This window comes from Homo sapiens, chromosome 13 (assembly GCF_000001405.40).
Source record: "Homo sapiens chromosome 13, GRCh38.p14 Primary Assembly".
Taxonomy (NCBI): Eukaryota; Metazoa; Chordata; class Mammalia; order Primates; family Hominidae; genus Homo; species Homo sapiens.
Genome location: NC_000013.11, coordinates 60,005,403 through 60,021,387, shown reverse-complemented (window position 1 = coordinate 60,021,387; position 15,985 = coordinate 60,005,403). Strand labels below are relative to the sequence as shown.

Here is a 15,985-nt window from a genome sequence, read left to right as displayed (position 1 = left end):
CTCCCAAAGTGTTGGGATTACAGGCGTGAGCCAGGGTGCCCATCCCTTTTTATGCTTTGACTCTCTTTCTTTCATCTCATCTCTCTAACCAAGCTGGGAAATTAAGAATTACATGATTAGATTGGAACCACCTGGATAAACTAGGGTAATTTTCCTATCTTAAAATCATCTGATTAGCAACCTTAATTCCATCTGCAATCTGAATTTCTCCTTTGCTACATGAGGTAATATATTCATATGTTCTGAGTTTAAGATGTGCAGATCTTTTGGTGGGCAAGGGTAGGATTACTCTCTTTACTACACATGCTTAGTCCTTTTATGCCCTCCCATTGCCCATGGCATTACATATGTGGTTTTTCAAGATCAAGCCCTTTCTTACCTGTTTGGTTTTATCTCTGATACAGCTTTCTCTGTTGCTCAGCACAGGCCATTTCTTTTACATTTAATGTCTTTGTGCATATGCCCTCCTGCTTAGAAAGAAAGACTCAGGTCAGACAGCAGATGCTTTGAAGTTCCCAAGAGAGGTAGATATTGTACCTTCTGTTCCCAGAGCACCATGAGTATAGCATTTATTGCATTATGGAAATAATTTTGTTCGACATTTGTTTCAACCACTGGTCTGTGATCTTTTCAAGGGCAGAGAACATATTTTATTCAGTTTTGTATTTCTCATACCTAGTGCAGTATCAAGAATACAGTGTGCCCTTTAATAAAGGCTGACTTGGCCAGGCATAGTGGCTTACACCTGTAATCCCAGCACTTTTGGAAGCTAAGGTGAGAGGATTTGCTTGAGGCCAGGAGTTTGGACTGGCCTGGGCAACGTAGTGAGACCCGATCTCTACAAAAGTTAAAATTAGCTGAATGTGGTGACACATGCTTGTAGTCCCAGTTACTAGGAAGGCTGAGGCAGGAGGATTGCTTGAGCCCAAGAGGTTGAGGTGGCAGTGAGACATGATTGTGTCACTGTACTCCAGCCTGGGCGACAGAGTAAGACCCTGTCTTTGGTTTTATTATCTTTGATTCAGTATGGGCAAATAACAGTTCTGAAATTGCAATTGAAGTTTCTAGCTTGAAGGTTGAGACAGGTTCAGTAATGGTGTGGAGATCTGTCATCTCTTTGTGTTTATTTCTGCATATATAAAGGCCACAAGCCTGGTTATCAGCAGACCTAAATATTATTTCTAAGTGACTATAACCTCTTATATGTAACAATAGAAGGGGACTTAGTTTCATTCTAAAATGATTTATTGAGTGCTCAGTCTATCCCATGCTGGAATAAATATGATATATAAGAAACGGTCCCTATACTCAAGGAGTATGCATCAGGTAAGATTGCTCTTATGATCTGGTATGTTTATTCCAGATCATAAGGGTAATAATTCCAAGATTAATTCCATTATAATTCATGATGCATTTGTCTTTCCCTTTCTACGAGCACATCTGGGAAGAAAGGTAATAACTTTAAACAAAACAAAGGAAGAGTAGGAGATCAGTCTTTGGGAAAAATACTTGAGAGCGCTTTGTTCCTTTTGGCCAGGAGGTAAATCTGAGACCTGATTGTTGCCTCTATTGCTCAATGAGGTGACTGACTGTATTTACTTCTGTATTAAAGCCAACAACATGTCAGAAACCACTTTACACACTTTCAGTTTCATCCTGTGTTTCTGGAAGTAGTAACTGAATTTCAAAGTCTAAGCTGCTTTTGAACATTTAAAGGCGGGTTAAACATTGTAATTCTGGGAACCTGTTCTCCCTCTCCCTCTGTTTTTTTTTTTTTTAATTTTTATTAAGTTTTATTACCTCTTCATCTCTTCTTTTCTCCTATATTGAGACCCCTACTAGGAAATGCTGAAGGGTAATATACTTAGAAGTTTTCCTTGAAGCAATTAGAAGAGTTTAATATTTCCTGTTACAGAATTTTAAGAGGTAGATTTAGTATTTAGCACACTACGGTTGCTGTTTTAAAGCAGTTTTTTTCTGATACAAATGTCATACTGATCTCTATGTCATTTCTATTCATGAAGAAGAAACGTGCATATTTATCCATGAATGCAGTTTATAGTTAAACCACATAATGCCTGATGGTACTGTGCTGACAGGCATAGAACAAATAGTGCAGATTTTAGTTCGTGGAAATTAATCATTTATAGATCAGTTGATAATTTTTTTCTAGGTTGCTTCTTACACTGATGATGAGAAATTTTTTCATTTTTGTAGAAAGCTATGGATCTCAATAAACCTCTGTCAAGACTACAGACCTGCCTACTCAATATCACTTTTTATCTTGAACATCTTTTCCAGTGGAAATAGGAAGTGATATTCATACCCCTATCTTTAAAAATAATATTGCTGAAAATAGTAGGGGTGAGGGTGAAACACTTGAGATTATTGCTTTGTGAGTGACACCTGTTAATACAACAGTATGTTGAGTTTGCAAATTTTTAAGAAAACAGGGAGATGTTTTATGCATATTTAATTTTTAATCTTTTTAGTAAGTACTTTTGTTAGCTTTCTTTTAATTCTTATATTGTTTCTTTGGTTGTCAGGTGTCTCAGTTTTCTTTCCCTGTACCCTGTCCCACTTTTCTTGTTTTTGACATGTTTTATGAGATATAATGTATAATCTGGTTTTCAGAAGGCCATTGCCCAACTCTCATTTTATTGTTGTTGAGAAATTCCCACAGTGACTTAAAAGATTGTAATAGATGAAGTGATTTGGTTTAATGCCTCTTTACACGGAACTTTAATAAGTTTTGTTTTATAGAGAATTAGTTTATATATAAAATACATGAGTAGGCATAAATTCTATTTGAATAGTTCATATTCTGTAGTTTAGAAGAGAGTTATATAGTGGGTCTAGAAATAGTTGACTTTAGACCATCTATGAGTCACACTATTCTAGTTATAATTATGTTAAAGGTAATACATTTTAAATAGCTATTTTTTATTATTAATTATGTAGATCAGAGAACTTACTGATTTACATGGATTTGTGTTTCTTAAATTTTATAGTGGGTCATAATATAAGCATATTAAGTGTAACAAAGTCTTTTTGTTATATTAACATAATTTAAAATTACTTTGCCTATTTTGGTGTGAGGCAGTTTGATGAACAGTGATTTTATTCTTCACAATGATTAAAGGTGATAGCAGTATGAATAATCTGAAACCATTTATATTGGCTTTAGAATATCTTTGTGGCTATACTTTTGAATATGGATATTGTTGAAAACTTACTTCAAACAAAATATTGAAGGCCCTCTGTGAAGTATTAAAGAGGAGTGCCTTATGAACAGTCTCTCTCCATGCATCTCAATGTCAGCCCAAGTAAAACTCTCAGATTTCTCCTCACTTCCCTGCTGCATGTGAAATAGGAATAAATTCAGAATAGGATGTCAACAAGGCAAACAGTTAAGTGAGATGCTGTAGTTGTTTTCATGAAACATAAAAACAAGATTCAAAATGCCTACAGATAATCTGTGTGTCGCTGATAGTGAAGAGTAAACCCTTCACTTTTGAAGTAGCAGCCTGGTTTGAAAACAACCTCTGTTTAACTTTTTTCCTTACCTTAACTATAATAGCAATCTTCAGTCTTTTACAAGAGAGTATCTTTCCTGTTTAAGTGCATTTTAAAAATTAGTTATTTCATGGCTTTCACTGGCAAGAGATGAGTAAAATATTGTCTGACAAGAGATTGCCAGTCTAAATGGCAAATTTCTTTTTCTTTTTTGTAAAATCAGAAATCCTCAACATTGATAGGTGTCAAGTTGTATTTACAGAAATATGCAAATGAAGAAGCTGGATTTTACTCAATATTTGTATTTTTTATATAAATATGTTGCATTTGGTTTTTATTCTCTTTTCACTGGAAATGTTGTATCTTAAGAAAAAATGATATTTTGGTATTTTCTGATATATGACTTAAGCTTGTTTTTATTCTTTATAGTGTTCTGTTTTTCATTCCTTGAATTTTTTTTTTTTTTTGTGATGGAGTTTTGCTCTTGTTGCCCAGGCTGGAGTACGATGGCGCGATCTCGGCTCACTGCAACCTCTGCCTCCTGGGTTGAAGTGATTCTCCTGCCTTAGCCTCTCCGAGTAGCTGGGATTATAGGCATGCACCACCACCCCTGGCTAATTTCGTATTTTTAGTAGAGATGGGGTTTCACCATGTTGGTCAGGCTGGTCTCGAACTCCTGACCTCAGGTGATCTACCCGCCTCTGCCTCCCAAAGTGCTGGGATTACAGGCAGGAGCCACCACGCCTGGCCGAAATTTTGTTTTTAACATCTTACTGTTCAAACAGTACACATACACATATATAAAATCACATATATAAGTACAGGCATACAAATAAATATACACACATATATCTTTTCTTTCCTTCATTCTTTTGGTGACAGATTATTATCATTGTTATTATTTATTGGCCTAGGTTTACTAATCTCCACTGAGAAAAGGTATTCATTTCTAGCGAGGTAGTTTTCATGTAATCCAGGCAAGCTGTTGTCTAGTGACAGTAATGTTCTAGTTATGTAAAGGCCTGTGATTGGGTCAGTGGGTTTATGGGACAGGTTTGGTTTGGTGAACATGGAGATAACTCATTTAAAACCCAGTGATGCAGTTTGTTTGTTTGTTTGTTTGTTTTTAAAGCAACTGAACTTTGAAACTTAGGAAATTCTTAACATTTGTAGGAATGTATTTCAGTGGTTTGGGGAATTCTGCTAAAGCATCTCTTTTTTTTAATTAATTTTTGCCAGTAATCTTTTTCTTTATGTTGATCTACATCTTTCCTCCATAGATCTTTACTCACTTGTACAATTTGTCTTCTTTGGCATAGCCCCAAATGGGCTGTAATTAGTGGTATGCTGGTAAATGTTTAGAGCCAGCTCTGGGTGCGTGGGTGGGGGAGGCTCTGATTGGTTTGCCAGTTTCTTTGGTGTGAATACTTTCACTGTGGCTGATTTCAAGCTACCCACGTGATGTCCCTAAACATGAACCATGGAAGAGATGGGCACAGTCTGCTCTTACAAGCCTGTGCAAGCGGAGTTTAGCACACTATTGGCATATCCATCTTTGCTTCTTTCACAACTAAGATGAGTCATGAATAATTTTTATATATGGTGTTATTCTTATGTTTTAGTTACGATTAGGAATATAGCAAATATAAAATACTTGTAGGTATATAATATGATAACACAAGCTGCGTTACTGACAATGTGTAACTGTCTTTTTTCTGTTTTTCAGTTGGGTGGAAAGCTTTGGACATGAAGGGCTTGGATTATTATTAGACATTTTGGAAAAACTGATTAGTGGAAAAATGTAAGTATTGCTAATAATTATTTTCAAGTAAGCATCATTCATATGTCCAATTATAATTCCAACACTGCTATTTTTTATGTCAATACAGCCAAGAAAAAGTTGTAAAGAAAAATCAACATAAAGTCATACAGTGTCTAAAAGCCCTGATGAATACGCAGGTATGTACATACGTAATTAGTATTTGTCCGTCACCAATTTTGTAATATATGATTTTCAGTTGCAGTAAAGTGATGGTAAATTGTTCTGATGTGTTTTTTAGTACATGATGGAAAAATATTGAATTTTATTGAATTCTAGTTTCAACTGTCTTGCAATAGGAGAAACTTGATAATGAATAAACCTCTTCTGGTGCTGAACTCCTCATGTATAGGTTAATTATCTCTCCCCACCCTTTCCTCCCTCTCAACCCTGCCCACCCCAACCCCATCTTCTTTCTTTTTTTCTCTCCACCCACCACCCTTTCTCTGCTTTTTTGTCCTACTCTTCCTCTTTTCTTCCTTCCTTCATTTCCTCCCTCTCCTAACTCTCAAAAGTACGGCGTGAGTCAGCTTTAAGATCATGATTATTAAATGTGAGCTGCAATAATACTTATTACCAAAGGTTCAAGTTAGGAAGATTTCTTATATTCTAGGAATTTAAAATCTACAATGAAATTAATGTAAACAGATATAAGCAGGTCTCAGAAATAGAGCAATGAGGCTTAACCCAAGTAATATTGAGAATAAACGTAATATGGAGGAATTTGCATAGTTAAAGAGGTTACATTAGAAGGGAGAAACCTGCTTGTGGCTCTCACCTATAATCTTACCGCTTTGGGATGCCGAGGCAGGAGGGATTGCTTGAGGCTAGGAGTTTGAGACCAGCCTGGGCAACATAGTGAGACGCCATCTCTACAAAAAGTAAAACAAATAGCTGGGCATGGCGGCACATGCCTGCAGTCCCAGCTACTCAGGAGGCTGAGATGAAAGGGTGGCTTGAGCCCAGGAGTTTGAGGTTATAGTGAACTGTGATCGAATCACTGCACTCCAGCCTGGGAGACAAAGTGAATCCCTGTCCTTAAACAAAACAAAACAAAACAAAACAAAACAAAACAAAACAAAAAAACTAGAAAAAAAGAGGAATTCTTAAGCTCTTTACTGAAGTTAGATTTTAGGTTTATCTAGCAATGTTTCTTTTTTGCTTTTATACTGTTAACTGTAGAAATTAGCATTATCCTATGCTGTTTCTTTAAGCTCCAGCATCTAAACACATTTACCTCATGATGTGTGAAGTGATGATAGGTGTTTAAGTTGCTGTTAGACAGCAGGGGGGGAAATTTTACCTGTGGTGGTACGATTATTTTTGTTTTATAGCAAAAGCATCTGTATATTTCTGATTAATTTTAATTATAATATTTTGCCTTATTCTAATTTAAAAACAAACTTTTATAGGGCTACACACTTAAGTACTAGTACGTAAATTATTGATTTATTTTATATTTATTTTACTACATGTATTAGCAAATATTTATATTTTCTAATTATTTTTGTCTTGTTAAACTGTGTATTTTTAAGCATTTTCTGGAGCTAAGCTTTCTATTTTTAACCAATGAAATATTTTTTCTTCCTTGCCTCCTCTAAACAGATATTATTTTCAAAGAAAATATGTGATGTAGGAATCACAACTCCTTTCTATGCTGAATTCACGGTTCTTTGAAAATCAGATATTAGATATATAAGGTAGCTTTTTACATATCTGTTTTAAGAGTAAATGAATGAAAGAATCAAATTGCTGATAGGGAGAGGTCTTTGCCCACTAAGTACATAGAACTGGTTTAGGAAGCCCTTTTTAAAGTGAGAATATAGAAATTGGAAATTTCATTGGTGATGGAAAAGCCAAAAGTAGAAAAAATCTAGGAACTTTTTTTAAACCAAAGGGACATTTGGATCATAATTTGAATTTAAGAAGAATATCATGGTTAAATTAAGGTGGTAAATAGAAGATAATATTCTTACTTTGTTTCATAATGAATCTGAGGAAGATTGAACTTTATTTTCTAATTAATATACTATTTTTCTCTTAAGAGATTTTTGTTGCTTGTAGTTTATATACATGGAGCTATAAAATATTGCCATTTTATTTGGTGCTTTTATCTGTGTTATTAAGAATAAAAAGTTAATTTAAGTTATTGTTACTTAGTATTATAGTGTCTGAACTCTAAACCTAGCAATATGTGAAATTTTTGGTGAAGTTTTTTTTCCCTTCAAGATTGGTTAATGGTTGTCTTAATCTTTATTTGATCACATCTATAAGTACAAAATTTGTTAAACCTCACTTATACAGTCTTTATTAGCATTCATTGAATGGTGAAAATATAAGTTTTAAGAGGAAAAAAATGTGGTACCTTATTTGGTACTAGTAATTAATTATACAATTAATGGGCAAATTTGATAACATTACATGAAAGTGAATTTCTTATAACATTAAATTGGACTAAGAGTATTTTTTAAATGGAAGAGAATTTTAATTGCGTAGGGGAAAGAAAAGATAATAAGGATGAAAAGTTAGTATATTCAAATTGAAAGGTAATTAGAACAGAGACTTCAGTTTGGTCAGTTAACTGTGTGTGTTGCTTTGAAGAGTGCACCCAAGGTGCGGGTGCTTTGCTTCTGAAGCCAGCAACTTTAACCACATTATTTCTGCTACTGGGATTAACTCACTGTGGGTGGCTGCTCAGCACTAGTAGTCATGCTGTGTGCGTCCAGATGTTGGGCGTCCTACACGAGGATTTAGAGCATTAACTTTCCTCTACCTAAAACATCATCTTCAGTGCCTGAAATTCCATCTATTAGCTAATAATAGGCCTCATGTGGAATGCAGGCGGAACCTGGCATTGATCCTCAGTTTAGAACAGGCCAGTTACCATATTGTCCGGAGTGGGTCCTTGACATTCAGGAAAGATACATCCTTAGACCTTTCAAAATTTGTCATGCCTCTCTAACCTAAAACAGCCCTCATTAAATGCACTTTAATCCGAGCACTGGTAAGTTGACAACTTCTCACACAGAGTCAACAGTTTTTGTTTTGTTTTGCTATGTTTTTTAAATAATTGAGAGTAATTTATACAAGTAGCAATTCTGTATTTATAGATACTGAGTAGTAGTAATTGGCCTCATTCCAGTCTTAAAATGAGTGTGACACATTTTTGCATTACCAAAATCAGAGAACGTTACCTGTGATGGACTTTTGGGGTCACAGGATGATGGTTAAAACTGTGAAATCAGAGTATGCTCCTATTTCACCTTTCATACATGATAGGTTAGGGCCAGAGGGTTTGGCAGAGAAGGCAGGTAGTATCACTTGGAGGAAGTCAGCATGAGTCACCTTGGGTGGCTGGAGGAGTCACAGGATTCTGATTCTAGAAGGGCAGGTGTTAGCTAAGGACAACCAGGTAGGTGGGAAAAGAAGGGGAAATGCTAGAGGCAAGCTTTACTCAATTCCCAGATTTATTAGGACAGAGCCAGCTCTTGTGTACTTGGTAATCATTGACTGACTTTCTGAATTGAATCTAAGTGGTACTTTATAAACCTGACAATTCCCTGGAATGATTAGCAAGGCATATTGTAGTTTCTGGTCCTGTGCCTGCCTTTTCATTCTTTTTCCAGTTAGGTAATAGCCCAGGCTATCATAAAAGTAAGTATTTCCTGACTGTTTAGCTGTCTTGTTGTAAACTTTTCCCTATTACTAACAAGACAGAGTAATCTCTCCAAAATTCATATTCTTGGGCCCTTGGCCTTTCCTCATACTTTCTCCATTGTTCCTGTGTTTCTCAGATAGTGGTTTAAAGTAAATGGAGTATTTCAGCCCAGTACAAGGTTTCTTTGCATAAATGGCCATATACAAGATAGGAAAGTTATAAATAGGATTTTATCACAATCAAAGTACTTGGGTCTAAGCTGGTTATAGATTCAACTTCAATGCTTACATGTAGTGCTGATTTTGAGTTTAGTTCATAGGCTTGTAATTGGGAATAAGGCCCTTTTTTAGTGTTTGGTAGTAACTCTGATTAGTCAGTTCTCATGCTTTAGTAGGATCCTCTGAGATGCATGCTAGATAAATAGTACTGTTTTATTGTTTCTATTCATCTTCTGTATTTTGACAGTTATCTTTCATAGATACATCATTAACATAACTTATCTTCTAATTGGATTTGACTTCCTGGCAGTAGTAAATAAACTTTATCCTAATCCCAATCGTCTCATTTATAGAATGAGTTTACAACTGCATTGTTTTCCTTATAATAAATACCATTGTGATTAGAATACCTGTGCCCATTGTGGCAGTTTCTACATGGTATCTGCTCAAATCATCCTTCAGTTTTTGCTTATTTATGAACTAAGTGCTAATATCTAGGCCTGTATTTTGTAATATGGTAGCTACATGTGGCTTCTGAGCATTTGAAGTGTGGCTAGTCTGAATTGAGATGTGCTACAGTATAAAATACACACTGGATTTCAACTATTTAGGAAGAAAAAGAAGTGAAATGTCATCAATAAATGTTTTATATTGGTTATATGTTGAAATGGTAATATTTGGGGTATATTGGATTAATTTTATTGAAAATAGTTTTGCTTGCTTGAAATTTTTAAATTACTCATGTGGTTTACATTATATTTCTCTTGGACAGTGTTGATCTGTGTGTTTGCTTATGATAATATATCTCTTACCAACCTTCCTTCCCAGGAAAAAGATTTTCATGGCCTCAGTGTCTGGTTCCGTATCTGGCTGTTTGTTTCATATGCTTCTGTTGGCAAATCCCATGTTTCTGACTGCTTCCCACTTTCTCAATTTGGCTACTTAACCTGTCTTAATAATTGTCAGCTGTATTGTTGTAAGATCACCTTGAGTTATCTTTATTTGGTTTAGTTTTGTGGTTCTTGACATAAAGTGAATACCCTTATGAACTTTTTATTTTATTTTTTTTTTGAGACGGAGTTTTGCTCTTGTTGCCCAGGCTGGAGTGCAATGGCGTGATCTTGGCTTACTGCAATGTCCACCTCTCGGGTCCAAGTGATTCTCCTGCCTCAGCCTACCGAGTAGCTGAGATTACAGGCATGCACCACCATGCCTGGCTAATTTTGTATTTTTAGTAGAGAGGGGGTTTCTCCATGTTGCTCAGGCTGGTCTCAAACTCCCGACCTCAGGTAATCTGCCCGCCTCTGCCTCCCAAAGTTCTGGGATTACAGGCGTGAACCACCGTGCCCAGCCATGAACTTTTTAGAGTGTTACACAGTCTATATTTTTTAGCTTTAGTAAGTGTAAAAATGTCCTATAAATTTTTTTTAATAACTACATTTCCTTCAGGGTATTATTTTTCTAACTAATTTCTAACATTTGACCTCTTATTTTCAAAATATTATAGTATGGCTTGGAAAGAATTATGAGTGAGGAGAGGAGCCTTTCCTTATTGGCCAAAGCCGTGGATCCCAGACACCCCAATATGATGACAGATGTGGTTAAACTTCTCTCTGCGGTATGCATTGTAGGGGAAGAAAGCATGTAAGTGTTATCAACATATTCCCCTAATTATATAATAATTTAATACAGATTGATTCATTTAATGTTTCATTATCTACTCTAGGCTAGAATTTACTAGAATTTAAATAAATGTTGAGGTATATTTAAGCAGCTAATATAGTTTCTTATTGGCTGGAAATTTTTGAGTAATTATTTCTCTTAATTGATTTATTAGTTATGGTCTAACATACTTCTATGAAAAACTGATTTCCTTATCATATTTAAACTGTTTTTTTAACTGAAACCCTAAATTAAAAAAAATTCTAAATGGAGGCTTTGAAAATATACAAATGGTTCTATTTCTTATGTGATTTTTTTTCCCCACATAGAATTATTTCAAACTGTAGGTCTTCTCTATCCCCTTGTAAAAGCAAACATATTACGATTTGGAAATCTATATATAAGGCAGATTAGAAAGTGATTTATGTAATAGTAGTTTACTGGTTGAGGGTACAAAGTCCTTGAGCATAAAGCACACACTAGAGCTGTAAAGAACTTAACCACATTTGTTAGGAGTATAATTAAATACCATTACATACATATTAAAGATAATTATAAAGATAAAGATTTTTAAAAATTAGGGTTCTAATTATCAGGAAGCATTTAAAAATTATTTAAAATGCCTTTTAAAAAAGATAAAAATGTAAAAACTAAACAGGCAAAAGAACTAACAGAAATATCCCCCATATGTAGGGGTTGGCAGAGTCCTGTAAGGGGAGCCTCCTGTGTTCGTTTGAAAATCAGCCTTGTGGAGGTCCTGCTGGAGTTGGTGGGATTGAGCAGGTTCGGCTTGATGGTTGGATAGTCAAAGACACCACTCGGCCTCAGCCTGGCAGTCTGCCCGCAAAGTGTGCCTACAGTGTTTATCTATAGAAGAGGTGTTGCCACACCCAGCAGCAGTCCCAAGCGTGCAAAGCCAGGCATACAGCTTCAGTATTTAAGGCCATATAAATGTTGGTGTACAAATCTAAGAGTGAAATTTATGTGGACATATGATACTTTCTGAGCTTCCCTTCCCACTTTCTTCCTTTCCCCTTTCCCCCATCATTTTTTAATTCTGTCTTTTAACCTCCTCTTTTTCCCTTTTCTTCCTCCTCTTTCCTCTTGGACTCTTCCTTGCTTTTCTTTTCCCTTCCCTATTCTGTTATCCTTCCCTTTTCCTTGTTTCTTGACTTCAGAATGGGTATCAAGATCCTGTAAGTAACATTTAGGACTGCATGCCCATGTCCACGAACTGTGAGCTTCTCCAGTGTGCTGGATGCTGTTAACTATTACTTAAAAGAAGAGGAAGTATAGTTTTTGCATAATTATTATATTTTATATTTGAATATTTATAATACCATACTATTATATATTTTCGACTATCACTCAGCTTCATTTACTTAAACTTGTGAGGCATAAGAGTGCAGTGGTTGAGAGCATTTATATGGTGCCCACCACATAAACTGTCTGGTTTCAGATTCTTGCTCCACCATTTCACAGATATGAGACCTTGGACAGATTGCTTAACCTTTTTCTGCCTTAGTCTCCTAATCTATAATACGGGTTAATTATAGTACCTACCTCAAACAATTGTTATATACTTTAAAATGAGTTGATGTTTGTAAAGTGGCTTAAATGGTGCCTGATGTGTAGTAAGCATTATATAAATGCTTGATAAACATCTTCACAGGGTTATTGTCAGGGATAAATGATTAAAATGTAACATGCTTAGAACTGTGCTTGATACATGGTATGTACTCAGTAATCTACTTCTAAAATATATTGGCTGCTTAGGGTATTGACTTCTTTAGTAGGATAAAGCAATTGTATTATGGCATTTGTGTTTGCTACTTGCAATTTAATTGACTCAAATTTTCCAATAGCCTTGAAGAAGTTTTAGAAGCTTTAACTTCAGCTGGTGAAGAAAAAAAAATTGACAGATTTTTTTGTATTGTGGAAGGCCTCCGGCACAATTCAGTTCAACTGCAAGTAAGTTTTGTGTGTATATAAAATCTGTTTTTAAATGGCATATATTACTTTTAACGGTTTTATGATTGGTTTATATGAAAACATTGTTATGAAGCTCTGCATGCCTTTTAATATTCTTTTATAGCATTATTTATTTATTTATTTATTTGAGACGGAGTCTTGCTTTGTCGCCCAGGCTGGAGTGCAGTGGCGCGTTCTCAGCTCACTGAAAGCTCTGCCTCCTGGGTTCACACCATTCTTCTGCCTCAGCCTCCCGAGTAGCTGGGACTACAGGCGCCTGCCACCATGCCCAGCTAATTTTTTTTTGTATTTTTAGTAGAGACGGGGTTTCATTGTGTTAGCCAGGATGGTCTCGATCTCCTGATCTCGTGATCTACCCGCGTCGGCCTCCCAAAGTGCTGGGATTACAGGCATGAGCCACTGCGTCCGGCCTAGCATTATTTTTAGAATATAGAATTCCTATTTGTACTGTGTCATAATTTATCTTATAGATACATCTTGGCACACAACAATGGTTATTTCCTAGGTTGCTTTTCGTGTAGTAGAATTATTAGATTTCCCTGTATGAGATATTATCATAGTTCTATGAACTGTTTATTCTATGTTAGTCTCTTAAATTACTTTAACTTTTGAGATGTTTTGCCAATTAGGTCGATTAGGGCTTTTCATTGTTTTAATAACTGAAAAGTTGAGCTTACGTGAATAATAAGGAAACCCAAGGTTATAGATGTTTCCAAAAATACTGCTAAAAAGACACATTTAGACTTAAACATTTAAGTATTCAAGCTGAATAATATTCATTTAATTTCTCTTTCTTTTTTTAAAAAAAGGAAAAGAGGCTTTTATTGGTATAATTGTTCAAAAGTGGTCATCTTAAAAAATACTAATACCTGATTCTCACCTCCGTACTTCTAAAACTTAATTGGCATGGTGTGACCTGGACATTGGGAAATTTAAAATGATCCTCAGGTGATCCTAACGTGCAGCAAAGTTTCAAAGCCAATGTGTTAATAGATATGAAGTAAATCTCTTTCACACTTAATAAAAGTAAAAAGTTATAGTTTTTTTTTAAAGGTTCTGGGTGCTTGGCCATTTTATTGTTTCTTGGTATATTAGGAATAGAAAAGCTAAATCTGAAATAAAAAAATAAAGTGAAAAATTAAAAGTAAACAAATGGTATTTTAAAAATAATAGGCTGGGCGCGGTGGCTCATGCCTGTAATCCTAGCACTTTGGGAGGCTGAGGCAGGCAGATCACCTGATGTCAGGAGTTCAAGACCAGCCTGGCCAACATGGTGAAACCCCATCTCTACTAAAATACAAAAATTAGCCGGGCATGATGGCAGGTGCCTGTAATCCCAGCTACTCAGGAGGCTAAAACAGGAGAATCACTTGAACCCCGGAGACAGTGGTTGCAGTGAGCCAAGATCGTGCCACTGCACTCCAGCCTGGGTGACTGAGCGAGACTCTGACTCAAGAAAAAAAAAAAATGAGAATATGATAGGAGCTGTGAAACTAATAATTTAGTATGACATTTCAGATGACAGTGTTAGTGAATAGCCAGTGAGGAACCCTATGTTGTGATTTGGTTCTCTTCGAATAGGCAGGATTGAAGATCTGACCAGAGGGTCTCTATGGCATGGGTCCTGCAGGAACCTCTGTAAGAGAGCCCCTTTTCATGCATTCTGGGCTTGTTAGATGACATTGGCTTCGAGGTCTGGGATGTGTTCCCCATCTGTGACATCGACCTTGCCCATTTAGTTGCTTGAGAGACTAGAGTCTTTTAATTCATGTACTGCTAGCCTCATTTCCAGTCTCCTCCTCTTTTCTTTTCTCTTGCTTTCTTGTCTCTTCTCTCCCACCTCATCTCTGAGCTCCCCCTTCCCTGCTCTCCTTTTCCTTCCTATTGCTTTTCTTTTTCCTTTCTATTTTTTATGTCTTTCCTTGTCAGGTTGATCTGCTGTCATCTGGTGCTTTGAACAAGTTTCTTTGTCATCTGGTCCCAGGCTTTTTATTCATCTGAAGATTAATGAAGAGTAGCCCTAAAGAAAACTTTGTAGAGGAAAGTTGAACCATTACTTTATCTGATTTTTTTTTGCAACTATCTATGAATCTATAATTATTTGAGAGTAAAAGTTTTATGAAAATATTGGTAAAACTGGGGTCCCATCCTTTTGTTTACAACAGTATTACATTACATGAGGTTTTAAACTGTAAGGGAAGAGATAAATAATGGCTTGTTAAAGACAAAGCCCTGTTTTGTCCTGGTAAATGACATGATCTCCTCATTTATTGGAAAGTTTCGACTATTGCAGTCTAATTCTTGGTTATTTGGAATATTTGTTTTGGCTGTTAGACATAAAGGTAAATATATCTGACCTTTATTTTAATTAACTACAAATTAAATTGATGAGTATGAACTTGAAGGCAAACTACGTTGATTTAAAAAATTTAGGGGGTAAATTAAGTAATTTCTTTTATAGGTAGTTCTGCTTTTATTGAAGGTGCTCTTCTGTGGAAAAATAACATTTCTATAGTCATGATAAACTTATATTTAGTCAGTAAATATCTAGAAAGAGAACTATCAGTTAAAAGTTTGGGATTTTATAGGTTACTATTCTATAGAAGATATTAAGACTTAAATAAATATTAAGAATTCTGTTTATATAAAGTTTTGATACAGGTTTAATTTCTTTTATTAACAGCTCTAGTCAGACTAAATTAACGTATCATAAAATTTACCCATTTAAAATGTGCGTTTCAGGTCAGGTTGTGGTGGCTCATGCCTGTAATCCTAGCACTTTGGGAGGCCAAGGCGGGCAGATCATGAGGTCAGGAGATCGAGACCATCCTGGCTAACATGGTGAAACCCCGTCTCTACTAAAAATACAAAAAAATTAGCCGGGCATGGTGGTGGGTGCCTGTAGTCCCAGCTACTCGGGAAGCTGAGGCAGGAGAATGGTGTGAACCCAGGAGGCGGAGCTTTCAGTGAGTTGAGAACATGCCACTGCACTCCAGCCTGGGCAACAGAGCAAGACTCTCTGTCTCAAAAAAAAGAAAAAAAGTGTGATTCAATATTTTTTGTATATTAACAGCTTTGTGGAATCTTTACCACAGTCAATTTTAGAAGATTTTCATTGCC

General features: G+C 35.8%; 1 protein-coding gene and 1 long non-coding RNA gene across 24 annotated transcripts in view; one reads left to right on the top strand and one right to left on the bottom strand.

Moving 5' to 3' along the window:
* Positions 1–8,670, bottom strand: part of DIAPH3-AS1 (DIAPH3 antisense RNA 1) — a 31,640-nt gene extending 22,970 nt beyond the window's left edge. For 2 of the 5 annotated variants that reach the window (NR_109838.1, NR_046539.2), the window contains exons 1-2: positions 8,530–8,670; positions 380–467 (exon numbers count right to left, since the gene is read on the bottom strand). This is a non-coding gene — a long non-coding RNA (DIAPH3 antisense RNA 1). Of the gene's footprint in view, positions 1–379; positions 468–8,016; positions 8,086–8,529 lie in introns of those variants that run through there. The other 3 variants (NR_051994.2, NR_109839.1, NR_051993.2) reach the window with 2 other exon arrangements.
* The window catches only part of DIAPH3 (diaphanous related formin 3), a 498,346-nt gene that overhangs the window by 142,541 nt on the left and 339,820 nt on the right, over positions 1–15,985 (top strand). For 16 of the 19 annotated variants that reach the window (XR_002957478.1, XR_002957480.1, XR_941672.1 and 13 more), the window contains 4 exons: positions 5,243–5,317; positions 5,406–5,475; positions 10,719–10,855; positions 12,739–12,844. Coding sequence is in view for 14 of the 19 variants with exons in the window: in NM_001258368.2 (NP_001245297.1) it covers positions 5,243–5,317; positions 5,406–5,475; positions 10,719–10,855; positions 12,739–12,844 (388 nt within the window). In the remaining 5 variants the exon portion in view is untranslated. Of the gene's footprint in view, positions 1–5,242; positions 5,318–5,405; positions 5,476–8,198; positions 8,340–10,718; positions 10,856–12,738; positions 12,845–15,985 lie in introns of those variants that run through there. The other 3 variants (XM_006719876.1, NM_030932.4, NM_001258370.2) reach the window with 1 other exon arrangement.